Source organism: Homo sapiens, chromosome 9 (assembly GCF_000001405.40).
Source record: "Homo sapiens chromosome 9, GRCh38.p14 Primary Assembly".
Classification (NCBI taxonomy): domain Eukaryota; kingdom Metazoa; phylum Chordata; class Mammalia; order Primates; family Hominidae; genus Homo; species Homo sapiens.
In genome coordinates this window covers 72,520,156-72,532,826 of record NC_000009.12, presented here as the reverse complement: position 1 = coordinate 72,532,826, position 12,671 = coordinate 72,520,156, and the positions used below count along the sequence as shown (strand labels likewise).

At 42.3% G+C, this 12,671-nt stretch overlaps 1 protein-coding gene, 1 long non-coding RNA gene and 1 other non-coding gene across 3 annotated transcripts in view, besides 4 other annotated features; 1 reads left to right on the top strand and 2 right to left on the bottom strand.

The window, feature by feature from the left end:
* Positions 1 to 11,219, bottom strand: part of TMC1 (transmembrane channel like 1) — a 316,690-nt gene extending 305,471 nt beyond the window's left edge. Inside the window, exon 1 of the mRNA NM_138691.3 lies at positions 10,914 to 11,219. The gene's annotated coding sequence lies outside the window, so the exon portion shown is untranslated. The remainder of the gene's footprint in view (positions 1 to 10,913) is intronic.
* LOC101927234 (uncharacterized) lies at positions 5,162 to 9,409 on the top strand. Its single transcript, XR_001746721.3, has 3 exons — positions 5,162 to 5,260; positions 7,458 to 7,564; positions 9,010 to 9,409. It is a non-coding gene; the product is annotated as an uncharacterized LOC101927234 (long non-coding RNA).
* Positions 5,403 to 5,572: an enhancer, noted in NCBI's record as "active region_28461". NCBI's record gives its function as "activates an Ori minimal core promoter by ATAC-STARR-seq in GM12878 lymphoblastoid cells {active_cell/tissue: GM12878}" and the evidence as "EXISTENCE:reporter gene assay evidence [ECO:0000049][PMID:35858748]".
* On the bottom strand, positions 5,488 to 5,591 carry LOC124902347 (small nucleolar RNA U13). Its single transcript, XR_007061923.1, has one exon. It is a non-coding gene; the product is annotated as a small nucleolar RNA U13 (small nucleolar RNA).
* Positions 5,913 to 5,962: an enhancer, noted in NCBI's record as "active region_28460". NCBI's record gives its function as "activates an Ori minimal core promoter by ATAC-STARR-seq in GM12878 lymphoblastoid cells {active_cell/tissue: GM12878}" and the evidence as "EXISTENCE:reporter gene assay evidence [ECO:0000049][PMID:35858748]".
* Positions 6,953 to 7,514: an enhancer, noted in NCBI's record as "H3K27ac hESC enhancer chr9:75140229-75140790 (GRCh37/hg19 assembly coordinates)". NCBI's record gives its function as "activates a minimal SCP1, AML or CMV promoter by ChIP-STARR-seq in naive H9 embryonic stem cells {active_cell/tissue: H9 hESC(naive)}" and the evidence as "EXISTENCE:reporter gene assay evidence [ECO:0000049][PMID:30033119]".
* Positions 7,515 to 8,076: an enhancer, noted in NCBI's record as "H3K27ac hESC enhancer chr9:75139667-75140228 (GRCh37/hg19 assembly coordinates)". NCBI's record gives its function as "activates a minimal SCP1, AML or CMV promoter by ChIP-STARR-seq in naive H9 embryonic stem cells {active_cell/tissue: H9 hESC(naive)}" and the evidence as "EXISTENCE:reporter gene assay evidence [ECO:0000049][PMID:30033119]".

The window sequence follows — 12,671 nt, the reverse complement described above, 5'->3', positions numbered from 1 at the left end:
GCAAGCTCTAACAAGACTACATCTGCATTTTGTCTTTCTGAAGATTAATTTGAATCTAACCAAAGAAATTAAAATACACTATTGCACTCTTTTTGAAGCCTCATCATAGTCTATGGTCCAAAATCATCACAGCCCCAAATCAGCATAGCATCTGAGAATATGTCTCATCCTACCTCACCGGTTCTTCCACAGCGTCATGATCATGGCTTCAAGATGACTGGGCTTTAATTCCGGTAAAGTTTTTTTTTTTTTTTTTTTTTTTTTTTTTTTTTTTTTTTTTTTTTTGAGACGGAGTCTCGCTCTTGTTGTCCAGGCTGGAGTACAGTGGCACGATCTCGGCTCACTGCAACCTCTGCCTCCCAGATTCAAGCGATTCTCCTGCCTCAGCCTCCTGAGTAGCTGGGATTGCAGGCATGCACCACCATACCTGGCTAATTTTTGTATTTTTAGTAGAGATGGGGTTTCACCATGTTGGTCAGGCTGGTCTCGAACTCCTGACCTCAAGTGATCTGCCCGCCTCAACCTCCCAAAGTGCTGGGATTACAGGCGTGAGCTGCCATGCCCAGCCCAGTAAAGCATTTTTAATCAAAACTTCAGGCTGGGTATGGTGGCTAATGCCTATAAACCCAACACTTTGGAAGGCCAAGGCAGGCAGATAACCTGAGGTTAGGAGTTCAAGATCAGCCTGGCCAACATGGTGAAACTCCATCTCTACTAAAAATACAAAATTAGCCGGGCATGCTGGTGGATGCCTGTAGTCCCAGCTGCTTGGGAGGCTGAGGCAGGAGAATCACTTAACCCTAGGAGATGGAGGTTGCAGTGAGCCAAGATCACACCACTGCACTCCAGCCTGGGCAGCAGAGCAAGACTCCATCTCGAATAAATAAATAAAAATAAAAGATGAAAATCTTAGAAGCATCAGAGGGCTAGCAGGATTCTAATGAATTGCCAGCCAGATACAGGAAAAAATGGGAATTCAGATAGGAAAGCTTGGCACTTGGAGCATTTTTGAATTGAGGGCATTTTCCAATTGAAGATAGGTGGCCAAGAGGGTAAAAAAAATCAGTGCCTAGAGCCAGACAAAGTAGGAATTCAGTAAATTATTCTTCACTTTGGACTGGTAGCTCAAAGAGCTACACCCTAGATGTAAGAGTAATACGGATTAACAGTAAACTGTTCCTCTTATGAACTACAGGGCAGTGTGAGAGCAGCAGAATATTTTATGTGACTGAGAGCTCCATAGTATATAAGAGAGGTGCAGAGCTGAACTTGATATTGCTTTAGGAAATAAATCATATAGCAGGGACAGTTGGTCCAGTTGACCTGGAAAATATCAAATCTGAAACTTCAATTAACATCATCCTGAGTTAATAGTGTCCCTAGGAACGTAACTGAAGTAATTTAAAATCTTTTTTGGTGAACAAAACACCAGTCTAGGCTTCATATGATTTGTACATATTGTGTTTAAAAAATTATTTGCCAAAAACAATGTCTAGCACACAATCAAAAGTAACCAGGCATAAATACAGACTAGACACTGTTAATGTAAATTTAAAAAACAAAAAACAATGAAAGTAGACAAAAGTAGACTCCAGAGGCTCCTGATACTGGAATTATTAGATAAATATATAAACAACTGTGTTTGCTATGTTTAAGTAGGTAAAACTCAAGGTTAAAAATTATGGCAGAAGCCAGGTGCAGTGGCTCATGCCAGTAATCCCAGCACTTTGGAAGGCCAAGGTGGGTGGATCATGGGGTCAGGAGATGGAGACCATCCTGGCTAACATGGTGAAACCCTGTCTCTACTAAAAATACAAATAATAATAATAATAATAATAATTAGCTGGGCGTGGTGGCAGGCGCCTGTAGTCCCAGCTACTTGAGAGGCTGAGGCAGGAGAATGATGTGAACTCGGGATGCAGATCTTGCAGTGAGTCAAGATCACACCAGTGCACTCCAGCCTGGGTGACAGAGTAAGACTCCACCTCAAAAAAAAAAAAAAAATCATGGCAGAAAACAAGTGGCAAATTAGATATCCTAAAGCTGAAAATTTGATACCTAAACTTAATAATTCAATAAACAAATTATAATACTAGACATAGCTAAAAAGAGAATTAGTGAACTAGGAGACAGGTCACTAAAAGTTATCCAGAATGAAACACAAAGATATAAAGATGAAAAATACAAAAGAGAAAACAAGAAGCACAGAAAATACCTTGAGAAGGTTTTTTTTTTTTTAAGATGGAGTCTTGCTCTGTCACCAGGCTGGAGTGCAGTGGCACAATCTCGGTCCACTGCAACCTCCACCTCCCGGGTTCAAGCGATTCTTCTGCCTCAGCCTCCTGAGTAGCTGGGACTGCTGGTGGCTCACACCTGTAATCCCAGCACTTTGTGAGGCTGAGGCAGGTGGATCACTTGAGGTCAGGAGTTTGAGACCAGCCTGGGCAACATGATAAAATCCCATCTCTACTAAAAATAAAAAAAAATTAGCCAGGTGTGGTGGCACACATCTGTAATCCCAGCTACTCAGGAAGCTGAGACATAATTACTTGAACCAGGGAGACAGGTTGCAGTGAGTAGAGATCGCGTCACTACACTCCAGCCTGGGCAACAGAGTGAGACTCCATCTCAAAGAAAGAAAGAAAGAAAGAAACTATGGAGCTCTCAGCCACCTAAAATATTCTGCTGCTCCCACACCGACCTGGGATTTCAGGAACTCAATCAGGCTGTCTCATGCCCACCTGCCCAGATACACTATAATGATATTCCTTTATTCCCTCTTTAACATGATCATGTAGAAATTCTGGGTTTTACCTTGCTCCCCAGACCTGATTTCGTGGGCCTCTCTGACCTTCACTGACAAAATCTATTAGAGAGGGGGAGGGTGTCTTTTATTCTCCATTCTCAGAACTCGGGCAGAACCCTTATCAGGGAGTCAAGTCTTCAATCTTTCCTGATTCTCTCCTTCCTCTTAGAAATTTTTATCTAGCTGCAGGTGAGGGAAACTGGTTTAGTCTCATAATTTGATTCTAAATGTTTTCTCTTATGTACAGACCACATTCTCAAAGGATAAACATTTGATTCTTCTAAGTGTTTTGCTGTGTCACTTTTTCCCAAAGGCAGTGAAAACCACTGAATGAAATAGGAAAAAAAAAAAAACAGAGAAACAAGAAAGCACACTTGAGTGGATAGCTCCAGACATTATTTTATAACATATGAAGCCAGATTTTTTTGTCTTAACTAATACAGTATCCACACACACAAACACACACACATATATACACATTTCCTAAACACATATGTATATACACACTATATAGACACATAGACATCATTTTATGCGTGCAGGTTTATTACAGCAGAATTTTTCTTTTTTAGAGACAGGGTCTAGCTATGTTGCCCGAGCTAGTGTGCAGTGACTATTCACAGGTGCAACCATAGCCCTCTATAGCCTCAAACTCCTGGGCCCATCTCGGCCTTCCAAGTAGCTAGGACTACAAGTGCCCGCCACCACACCGGGCTTGAATAAGCATATTATTCTTTAATTTTTGGCCTTTCTCATGCAGTCCTTTACCAGTTCACAAAAATAGGAAACGATTTAGCAATTAGAGTTATCCCTTGGTATTCATGGAGGAATGGTTCCAGGACCCACCCACCGCCCCACCCGCCACCGGATACCAAAGTCATAGCTGAAAAGATGCTTCAGTCCCTGATTAAAAAAAAAAAAATGGTGTAGTATTTCTGTATAACCTGTGCACATTCTCTCACATACTTTAAATCATAACTACACTACTTATAATGCCTAATACAATATGAATGCTCTGTAAGTAGTTATTATACGATATAGTTTAGGAAATATACAAAAAAAAAATCTATACATGTTCAATACAGACACATTTTTTTTTCCAAATAATTTTGACCCATGGATATGGAAGGCAGGGATACAGAGGGTCAACTGTATTTGTCTAACCCTGTAAGCAATCTATTTTGTAAATGTAACAAAGGGCATACTAAAGGTCAGTCTGCAAGCCCAACCACCTCAAAAACTCAGGAAATTTATATTGGGCCCCCTGAAAATAGTGGGAGCAGGACATTAAGGCTGAGAGCCAAGTCTTGGGTCCTCAGATTCAGAACCTTCAGGAGGATGGGGGTTTTAGTCCATTTTGGATGCTAATTACAAAAATCATGAACTTGGCCAGGTGCAGTGGCTCACATCTGTAACCCTAGCACTTTGGGAGGCCGAGGCGGGTGGATCACCTGAGGTCAGGAGTTCGAGACCAGCCTGACCAACATGGAGAAACCCTGTCTCTACCAAAAATACAAAATTCGCCAGGCATGGTGGCGCATGCCTATAATCCCAGCTACTTGGGAAGCTGAGGCAGGAGAATCGCTTGAACCCGGGAGGCGGAGTTTGTTGTGAGCCGAGATCACACCATTGCACTCCAGCCTGGGCAACAAGAGCGAAACTCCGTCTCAAAAAAAAAAAAAAAATCATGAACTTATGGTTTATAAGCAAGAGAAATTTATTTGTTTACAGTTCTGGAGGATAGGAAGTTCAAGATCAATGTGCCAGATGATTGGTGTCTGGTGAGGGACCCTTCCTCATAGACAGCACCTTCACGTTGTGTCCTCACATGGTGGAAGGAGCTAGCTAGCTCTCTGGGGCCTTTTTTTTATAAGAACAGTAATCCCATTCATGAGGGCTTTGTCCTTATAACTTAATTACCTCCCAGAGGCTTCAGTTTCTAATACCACCACCTTAGGGGTTAAGATTTCAACATATAAGTTTGGCGGGGTGGAGAGAAATAAACATTCAGACCACAGCAGAAGGTTGCCCTAAATTCTGGAGTCGGGGAGGGGGGAAGTATCGCAAGAAAACAGGAACACTGAAAGACATGGGCTCCTTCTCAGATCTTAGAGAACAAAAGAAAGAACTAAATGGAGATGTGGGAATCACAAGGCCATAGTTTAGGGTCTCGCAGTGCCATTGGCAACAAAGCCTGAGAGCCTAGGCGATAGAGGCAGAACACCCAGAGGAGAAGCCCCTTCCCCTTGCACCGTGAGCCTGGTGTTTGCAGCTTGGTAGCAGTGGCAACAGAACAATCAGCTCTCCTACAATAAACCAGGGACGGAACAAACAACAGCAGCAGCGGTCGCAGGGAAACAGAATCTGTGTTGGCGTGCAGGGAGCAGGCAGCGTCTGCAAAGTAGCGCTGGCAACCACAACAGAGAGGCCAGCAACAGGAGGAGCAGGAGGAGCGTGAGTCACTGGGGTCTGGGGAGGGCAGCAAGGGAGGAGGGCAGAGGAAAGAGGCTGCTCTCCTGCTGGTAAACATCCCCCAAATCAGCAGAGCAAAACCAGGAAACACCAGAATATCAACCTGTGATTACACAGGCAGATTCCTGGATCCTACCACAGAGCTGCTACATCGTAATGTCGGAGTGCGGGGAGGCGGGTAGAATCCAGAAATTTGCATTTTTTTTTCAGGTCAGACAGGTAATGTACCGGGTCATAAGGAGGTTCAGAGGGTGTCACGTCTTACACATGCCTGTGAACACCCAATCATCATGCTTTTGAACTACAAAAGAATCGAGATATTTGCATTTTAAAGAAGTTCTCAAGGGGATTTTTAAGCAGTATTACCCACAGGCCTGAGCAACTGGGAGCTTTGCCCTGAGCCCTGCCTTTTAGAGGGCTCAAGGCTAGCCTTCTTCCAGCCACGCCCCTCAGAGCTAACATCCTACAAGACAAGGGAACATGCCCAGCGGAACCCCATGCTCACCTAGTACATGACACCCCCTACCTAGACCATGCGTCTGGTACCCAGGACCCTGGATTCATGCCTAAATGGCATTGAGACCAATTCCATGGCCTGAATGGACCTCTGGCCCAGGCAGCGCCTGTTGTGTGCTTCTGCAGGTGGACCACACTGCATGGTGTGCACAACTCTGGAAGGAAGAGTTCCTCATGGGCTGCTTGGTGGACTTGAGTGTTGAGCTGACCATATGTGGTCTCCAAGCCTGACCCTCTGCAAGAACAGGAGCAGGAAAAGAAGCAGGGGGTGGTGCTCTTCCTTGCCCTTCATGCTCATTTGTGTTCCCAGCTCACGTATGTTAAGGATATCTATTGGCCTAACTAGACACTTGCACATTATTCTTGGCTACATTTTTTAAAGTCACAGGGGTTTTAATTTAGTTAATCTTGTTTTGTCTGGTTTTACTTTGTTTTTAAACACCAGAGAGGAAAAAGAAAGCTCTTAGGGTGAAAATACCAATTATAAAATGAGTGAATCCTAGAGTTTAATTCCTTTACAAGTTTAATCATTTTACAAGCTTTGATTTTTCCCATGGCAGATGAAGTTTTGGAGAACCAGGCTTACATGATTAAGTAGCATCTTCAAATTTTGAATTCATAGAGTTAATTTAGTGTAAGTAGTATCCATTGAGGGTTTTTTACTGTGTTCTCCATTGTCCTACACAGTGACAGGATCAATAAGATAGGATGAATATCCTCAAAGCAAGGCCATTGGATAATTCAAGTTGTACACATGAAGAGAAAAAAATAACATCTGTGCAAAGGAGTATGTTATTTTAAGTGCTAAAGTGAGAGCCCCAGACAAGGCTAACTGCAATAGGAAATTAACAAATCTCCAAGATCCTCTCCTTCTGTTCTCAGTGTTGTCTTCTTCTAGAGGACACACACACTTACACCCCACGCCCCCAGCCCCCAAAGCAAGGGGCTGGTGCTTTCAAAGTTCAGGCACAAGCAAGATTAGCGAATGACACTCTGTGCAATAATGCTTACTTAGTCTGTGGTTAAGGAATTTTTTTTTTTTTTTGAGACGGAGTCTCACTCTGTCATCCAGGCTGGAGTGCAGTGGCACGACCTTGGCTCACTGCAACCTCCACCTCCCAGGTTCAAGCAATTCTCATGCCTCAGCCTCCCAAGTAGCTGGGAATACAGGTGTGTGCCACCACGCCCGGCTAATTTTTGTATTTTTAGTAGAGACGGGGTTTTGCCATGTTGGCCAGGCTGGTCCAGAACTTCTGACCTCAAGTGATCTGCCCGCCTGGGCCTCCCAAAGTGCTGGGATTACAGGCGTGAGCCACCGCAACTGGCCAAGGATTTTTTTGTTTTTCATGTGAGCAAGGAGAGAGATACAACAGTTCAAACTGTTTCCCTTTCTTTCAGTGATGATCCATCCACTGAGCCTTGTCATCTACAACAAGCTCTGCGTTTGTCAGTCCCAGATGGCCTTTGATTGGCTGAGTGTCATCTGTGTTTCTTTCTGGGTGGAATATTGAGTAATAAAATCTCAAAAGAAATTAACTTATTCACACTGTTGTTAAAGCAAGACATTGGTCTCGCCCTAAACTTCCCATCACACAAGCCTAAGGCATCTGACTCAGTACTTACAACTGCCCTGAGGTAATGTAGTATCTGGTTCACTTTTTAGCCAATGAAGCGTGCTGTGGAGGACAAAGAGCAGCAGAGGCAGGAAGCAGTGACAAGGAGTGAGCTGGGAAATTCCAGCTGCCCTCCTGTCCTACTTACAAGGAATAGGTATGACTCATTTTTAAGATGCAAACAGATGCTGACTTGGCTAACAAAATCCTATGCAAAATGTAACCTCTCTAAGACCTTGTTTCCTTTTCTGGAAAAAATAAAACAGATAAGCTATTATATTTGGACACCTGGATACTATTGTTAAGTACCGGTTTAAAAGAATAGGCATACATGTATTTGTTTTGAATATGCCCTTTCTTATGTCCTTGAAGCCGGCCTTCTGGACCGTATCTTTCTATCAAAGACAAACTCTACAAGAAAAACCTCCACAATCCAGGCTTGGGCTGTGCAGGTGTGTGGTGATCTGCTCCTTAGAGATATGTGGAATTTTCCGGTAACGACGCTAATTAGTATATCCTCGTGTCCACCACCACATAGGATTCCAAACATCTGGTTTATAATCCTGGCTCTGCACTAAATGGCTATGTGGCCTCAGTTTTCTCACCTGTAAAATCAAGAGGTTGGTCCCTTAAGATTTCTCTCTCTTCTCACTTCTTTACTGTTTTATAATTCTAGGACTTAAAAAAATTGAGAATGCATACCTATCTTTTCCATTTACTTATCTACCATAAGAATGAATGCTTATATGGGATACAACATTTTGTGTTTATCGGTTTTCTTTCATTGCAGGGAAAGGAAGGCATGACTGGGGTAATACTGGGTCAAGGATAAGATATAACATGTATTAGAGTTAACAACTATTCCTCGCTTACCTCATTGGGTTGTTATAGTGATCAAATGAGATCGCATCCTTGAGAAGTTTATCATGTATTATTAGTCTCTATTAAAATGTGGTTAATATTACTAGTAATAAAAGTGAACATTTATCTAATAAACATTGGTCAAACACCTTCTACATATCAGGCACTATGGTAAATACTAAAAAGACACTGATCCTGTTTTTCAGGCTCAAAGGAAGTCAAAAGAGCTCAGATAAATTGATGACAATATTTACCCTTAAAATTATTTTTTTCCTTTTTGAGACGTTTGGGCAGAATAAAGGCACAAATTTCTACATGCTATTTTCTTTCTCTATTTTCAAGTACTATGCATCTTTTTAAGTGCCCCATTCTAAACCTGAAGAAAAAAACGACATATCTAAGATTCTGCAAAAGCTCAACTGATTTCAGGCTAGGTGAAGAAATAAAAGATGCTACAGTCTATTAACTGTTGGGACCAAGTATAGTGGCAAGTATTTAATGGGCTCCCCAGCACTGACGAGTGAAAATGGATGATGATAACCTCACTGCAAAGGGTAATAGAAGACTGACCTTGGGCTATGAAAAATGTGTTCTGTAGACTTGTGGCTGCAATTTCAGAGCCCATGATGCCCCTTTCTCACTTTATGCTTCAGTAGCAAAGCATTTACCGGCTTTGAGTTCTTTTAATATAATATGCTGTTTCAGGCCTCTATACATTTTTTTTTTATTCTCTGTTCTTAGCCTGGAACAAGTACAGTTGACTCTGAACAAGTCAGGTTTGAACTGCATGGGTCCACTCATATGAAGATTTCTTTCAACGAAAGCTACCCCGAGTGTGCCTGCCTTTCCTGCCTCCCCTTCCACCTCCTGCACCTCTACCATCCCTGCCACCCCTAAGACAGCAAGGCCAGTCTCTTCTCTCTCCCCCTCCTCCTTCAGCCTATTCAACTTGAAGATGACAAGGATGAAGAGCTTTATGATGATCTACTTCCCCTTAATGAACAGTAAATATATTTTTTCTTCCTTACAATTTTCTTAATAGCATTTTCTTTTCTCTAGCTTACCTTATTGTAAGAATACAGTGTATAATACATAAAACATACAAAATATGTGTTAATAAACTGTTTATGTTATTGGTAAAGCATCTGGTCAACAGTAGGCTGTTAGGAAAGTGTGAGGGTAGTCAAAAGTTAAGCTCAGATTTTTGACTACGCAAGGGTCGGCATCCCTAAACCCCAAGTTGTTCAAGGTCAACTATAATTCCCTATTACTCCTCACTCTTCCTCCCTCCTTCCTCCTCTTCTTCCTTATCCCTTCTCCTTCATTTTCCCCACAGGCTAACTGCAACTCAGCCCACTTCATTTCCTAATTTTTCCTCCTCCCTGCATCCCCCCGAGTCTTTGTGAGATGCTCTTCCCTTCACTCCTGCCAGCCCTATGGCATCATGGCATTATCATGGTGTATGGAGAACTTCTGTCTTATCTGTTTCTCCCACTAACCCAGTGGTTTTCAACTGGAGACAATTTTGCTCCTCAGGGGACATTTGGAAAAGTCTGGAGACATTTTTAATTGTCACTTCTGGGGAAGGGGGTTGATACTGTCATCTACTGAGTAGAAGCCAAGGATGCTGCTAAACATCCTACAGTGCACAGGACAGCCCCTCACAAAAAAGGATTATCAGGCCCCAAAGGCCAATAGTGCTAAGGTTGAGAAACTGCACTAGGCTGAGTTCCTTTAAAATATGACCCTATTCAGCGCTGTTCCAGCAGCTCCACAGACAGTGTCCAGTGCCCAGTAGGAAGGAATCCAAACAGTTTTAATATTACATTTGAAATTTTAATTGAAAAACTCTTCTGACAGCTGTATGTTATAACTAATAAGCAATATGACCACATACCACAATTCAAAGGAAAACCAATATCCAGAGGTAAAGGTGGCTTACACCCATCAGTCTTTGACACTTCCTCCTATCTAGTTCTCTGTATTTCTTCCCTTTCTCCTTTTCTCTTGTCCCTGTGCTCACTGTCCCCCTTTACTGTCATGTTTGTTTGAATTCCACTTCAAAATGGGAATTTGAACAGAGTGCAATAAATTGTCCCACATTTGTTTATTTTAGGAAATCATTGCATTTAATTTTAACATTTAAACATATCAATTAGGCCAGGTGCGGTGGCTCACGCCTGTAATCCCAGCACTTTGGGAGGCTGAGGCGGGCGGATCACGAGGTCAGGAAATCGAGACCATCCTGGCTAACACGGCGAAACCCCGTCTCTACTAAAAATACAAAAAATTAGCCGGGCGTGATGGCGGGCGCCTGTAGTCCCAGCTACTTGGGGAGCCGAGATCGCGCCACTGCACTCCAGCCTGGGAGACAGAGCAAGACTCCGTCTCAAAAAAAAAAAAACTTATCAATTACTGGGTGACATGCTGTGCACTGCAAGAAAAACAAAGATAAATAGGAAACTGGGACTATCCTAACTGGGGGAGATTTCTGTAGCAGTAGAAAAGTAGAGGAAATATAGTTTTATTTCACTAATGTGATTAGGGAATATCTCATGGAGAAAGTCTTCGATTTAGGTCTTCACACATGTTTCATAAAGAATGTTAACACACCACACATAGGTAATAATGTTGTCTTTCCTTACCTGGCATCATTATGAGGGCCACTTTTTGGGGCAATGATTCCTAAATTTCAGCAACTCCTGGAGGGCTTGTGAAAGAAAGCACAGATTGCTGGGTTCTGCCCTCATAGTTTCTGAGGCAGTAGGTCTTCGGTGAAATCAGAAAACTGGTGTTTCTTTTTTCTTTTTTTTTTTGTGACGGAGTCTTGCTCTGTCACCCAGGCTGGAGCGCAATGGCGTGATTTCAGCTCACTGCAACCTCCGCCTTCCGGGTTCAAGCGATTCTCCCGCCTCAGCCTCTGAGTAGATGGGAAACAGTCGCGCGCCATCATGTTTTTGTAGAGGCGGGGTTTCACTCTATTGGCCAGGCTGATCTTGAACTCCTGACCTCAGGTGATCCGCCCACCTCAACCTCCTGAAGTGCTGGGGTTATAGGCGTGAGCCACGGCGCCTGTTTGTTTTTTTTTTTCTAATCAGAGGTTTTGCTCTTGTCGCCCAGGCTGGAGTGCAATGGTGTGATCTTGTCTCACTGCAACTTCTGCCTCCCAGGTTCAAGTGATTCTCCTGCCTCAGCCTCCCAAGTAACTGTGATTTCAGGTGCCCGCCACTACACCCGGCTAATTTTTGTATTTTTAGTAGAGGCGGGGTTTTGCCATGTTGGCCAGGCTGGTCTCAAAACTCCTGACCTCAGGAGTTCGGCCTCCGAAAGTGCTGGGATTACAGGCATGAGCCACTGTGCCCGGCCTAGAAAACTGGTGTTTCCAACAAGTCCTTTGGTGCTGCTGGTGCTACTGCGGGCCTTCTGAGGAGACTTTGAGAACCGCTGCATCAGGATTATCAGCCTGGTAACTCCTGGCCGAAGAAATGCACACCCTTCATTTGGCTAAAAGAAAGAATTTCCAATATTCATAAAGAAAACACAACTTGTGGGTTCTCCAAGCAGGAGAGGAAAAATCATGTTCCAGTCTATTCCTGTAACTAATGAAGGGCTCAGGTTTCAAAGGTAAGTTAATTGTCAGACCCACTTTATTGTACCCAGTGTCCTTGGGAAACATAATTATTTATTGGAAATATGTCACAACTAACATAAGTCTTAAAAATTTGTTAAATTAGAAACAAAATATTGTATTTGCTGATATGTTAAAACATAAGGGCCTAACATTTAGAATTGCACTTCTCATACTCACAACATGTACTCAAAATGCTGTTAACATCTACTTTGATGATTGTTTTGGGTTTACTTGAATCTAATGTTTCCATTTAATAATTCCTTTTTTTTCCCCTTTCCTTTTTTCAATCAATCCTTTCTCTTTTCTATGTTCTATATTCATGTTATCTTAGAATTCCATTTTGGCCTTCTAGGTTCTTTACTTCTTCCTCCAGCCTGTCATTTTCATGTCTTCAGTGATTTCTCAGACTTCTCACAGAAAGTTAACCATTTTTGTGCATCTTGAAACTTTTAACCTTTGATTTGAAGATAAATGCTAATAAATAAATATAATTCTTATGAATACATTATGCACAATGTTAAATTCAAAATGACTGACATGTTTCATGCTGTGTGCTATAGATATGCTAAACTTCATTTCAAACAGACTAAATAAAACACATGGAACTACATGCACTTTTTGTGAACAGCATCTTCATACCTGTTGTTTGTTAATGTCAGCAATTATAAGCTTATAGGTGTGTTTTTCAAGTGATCACTGAAAATAAATGTAGTATGTCTATTGGCAGAACCACTCACACCTACTAATTATTTGAAAAACATGCTCAAACACA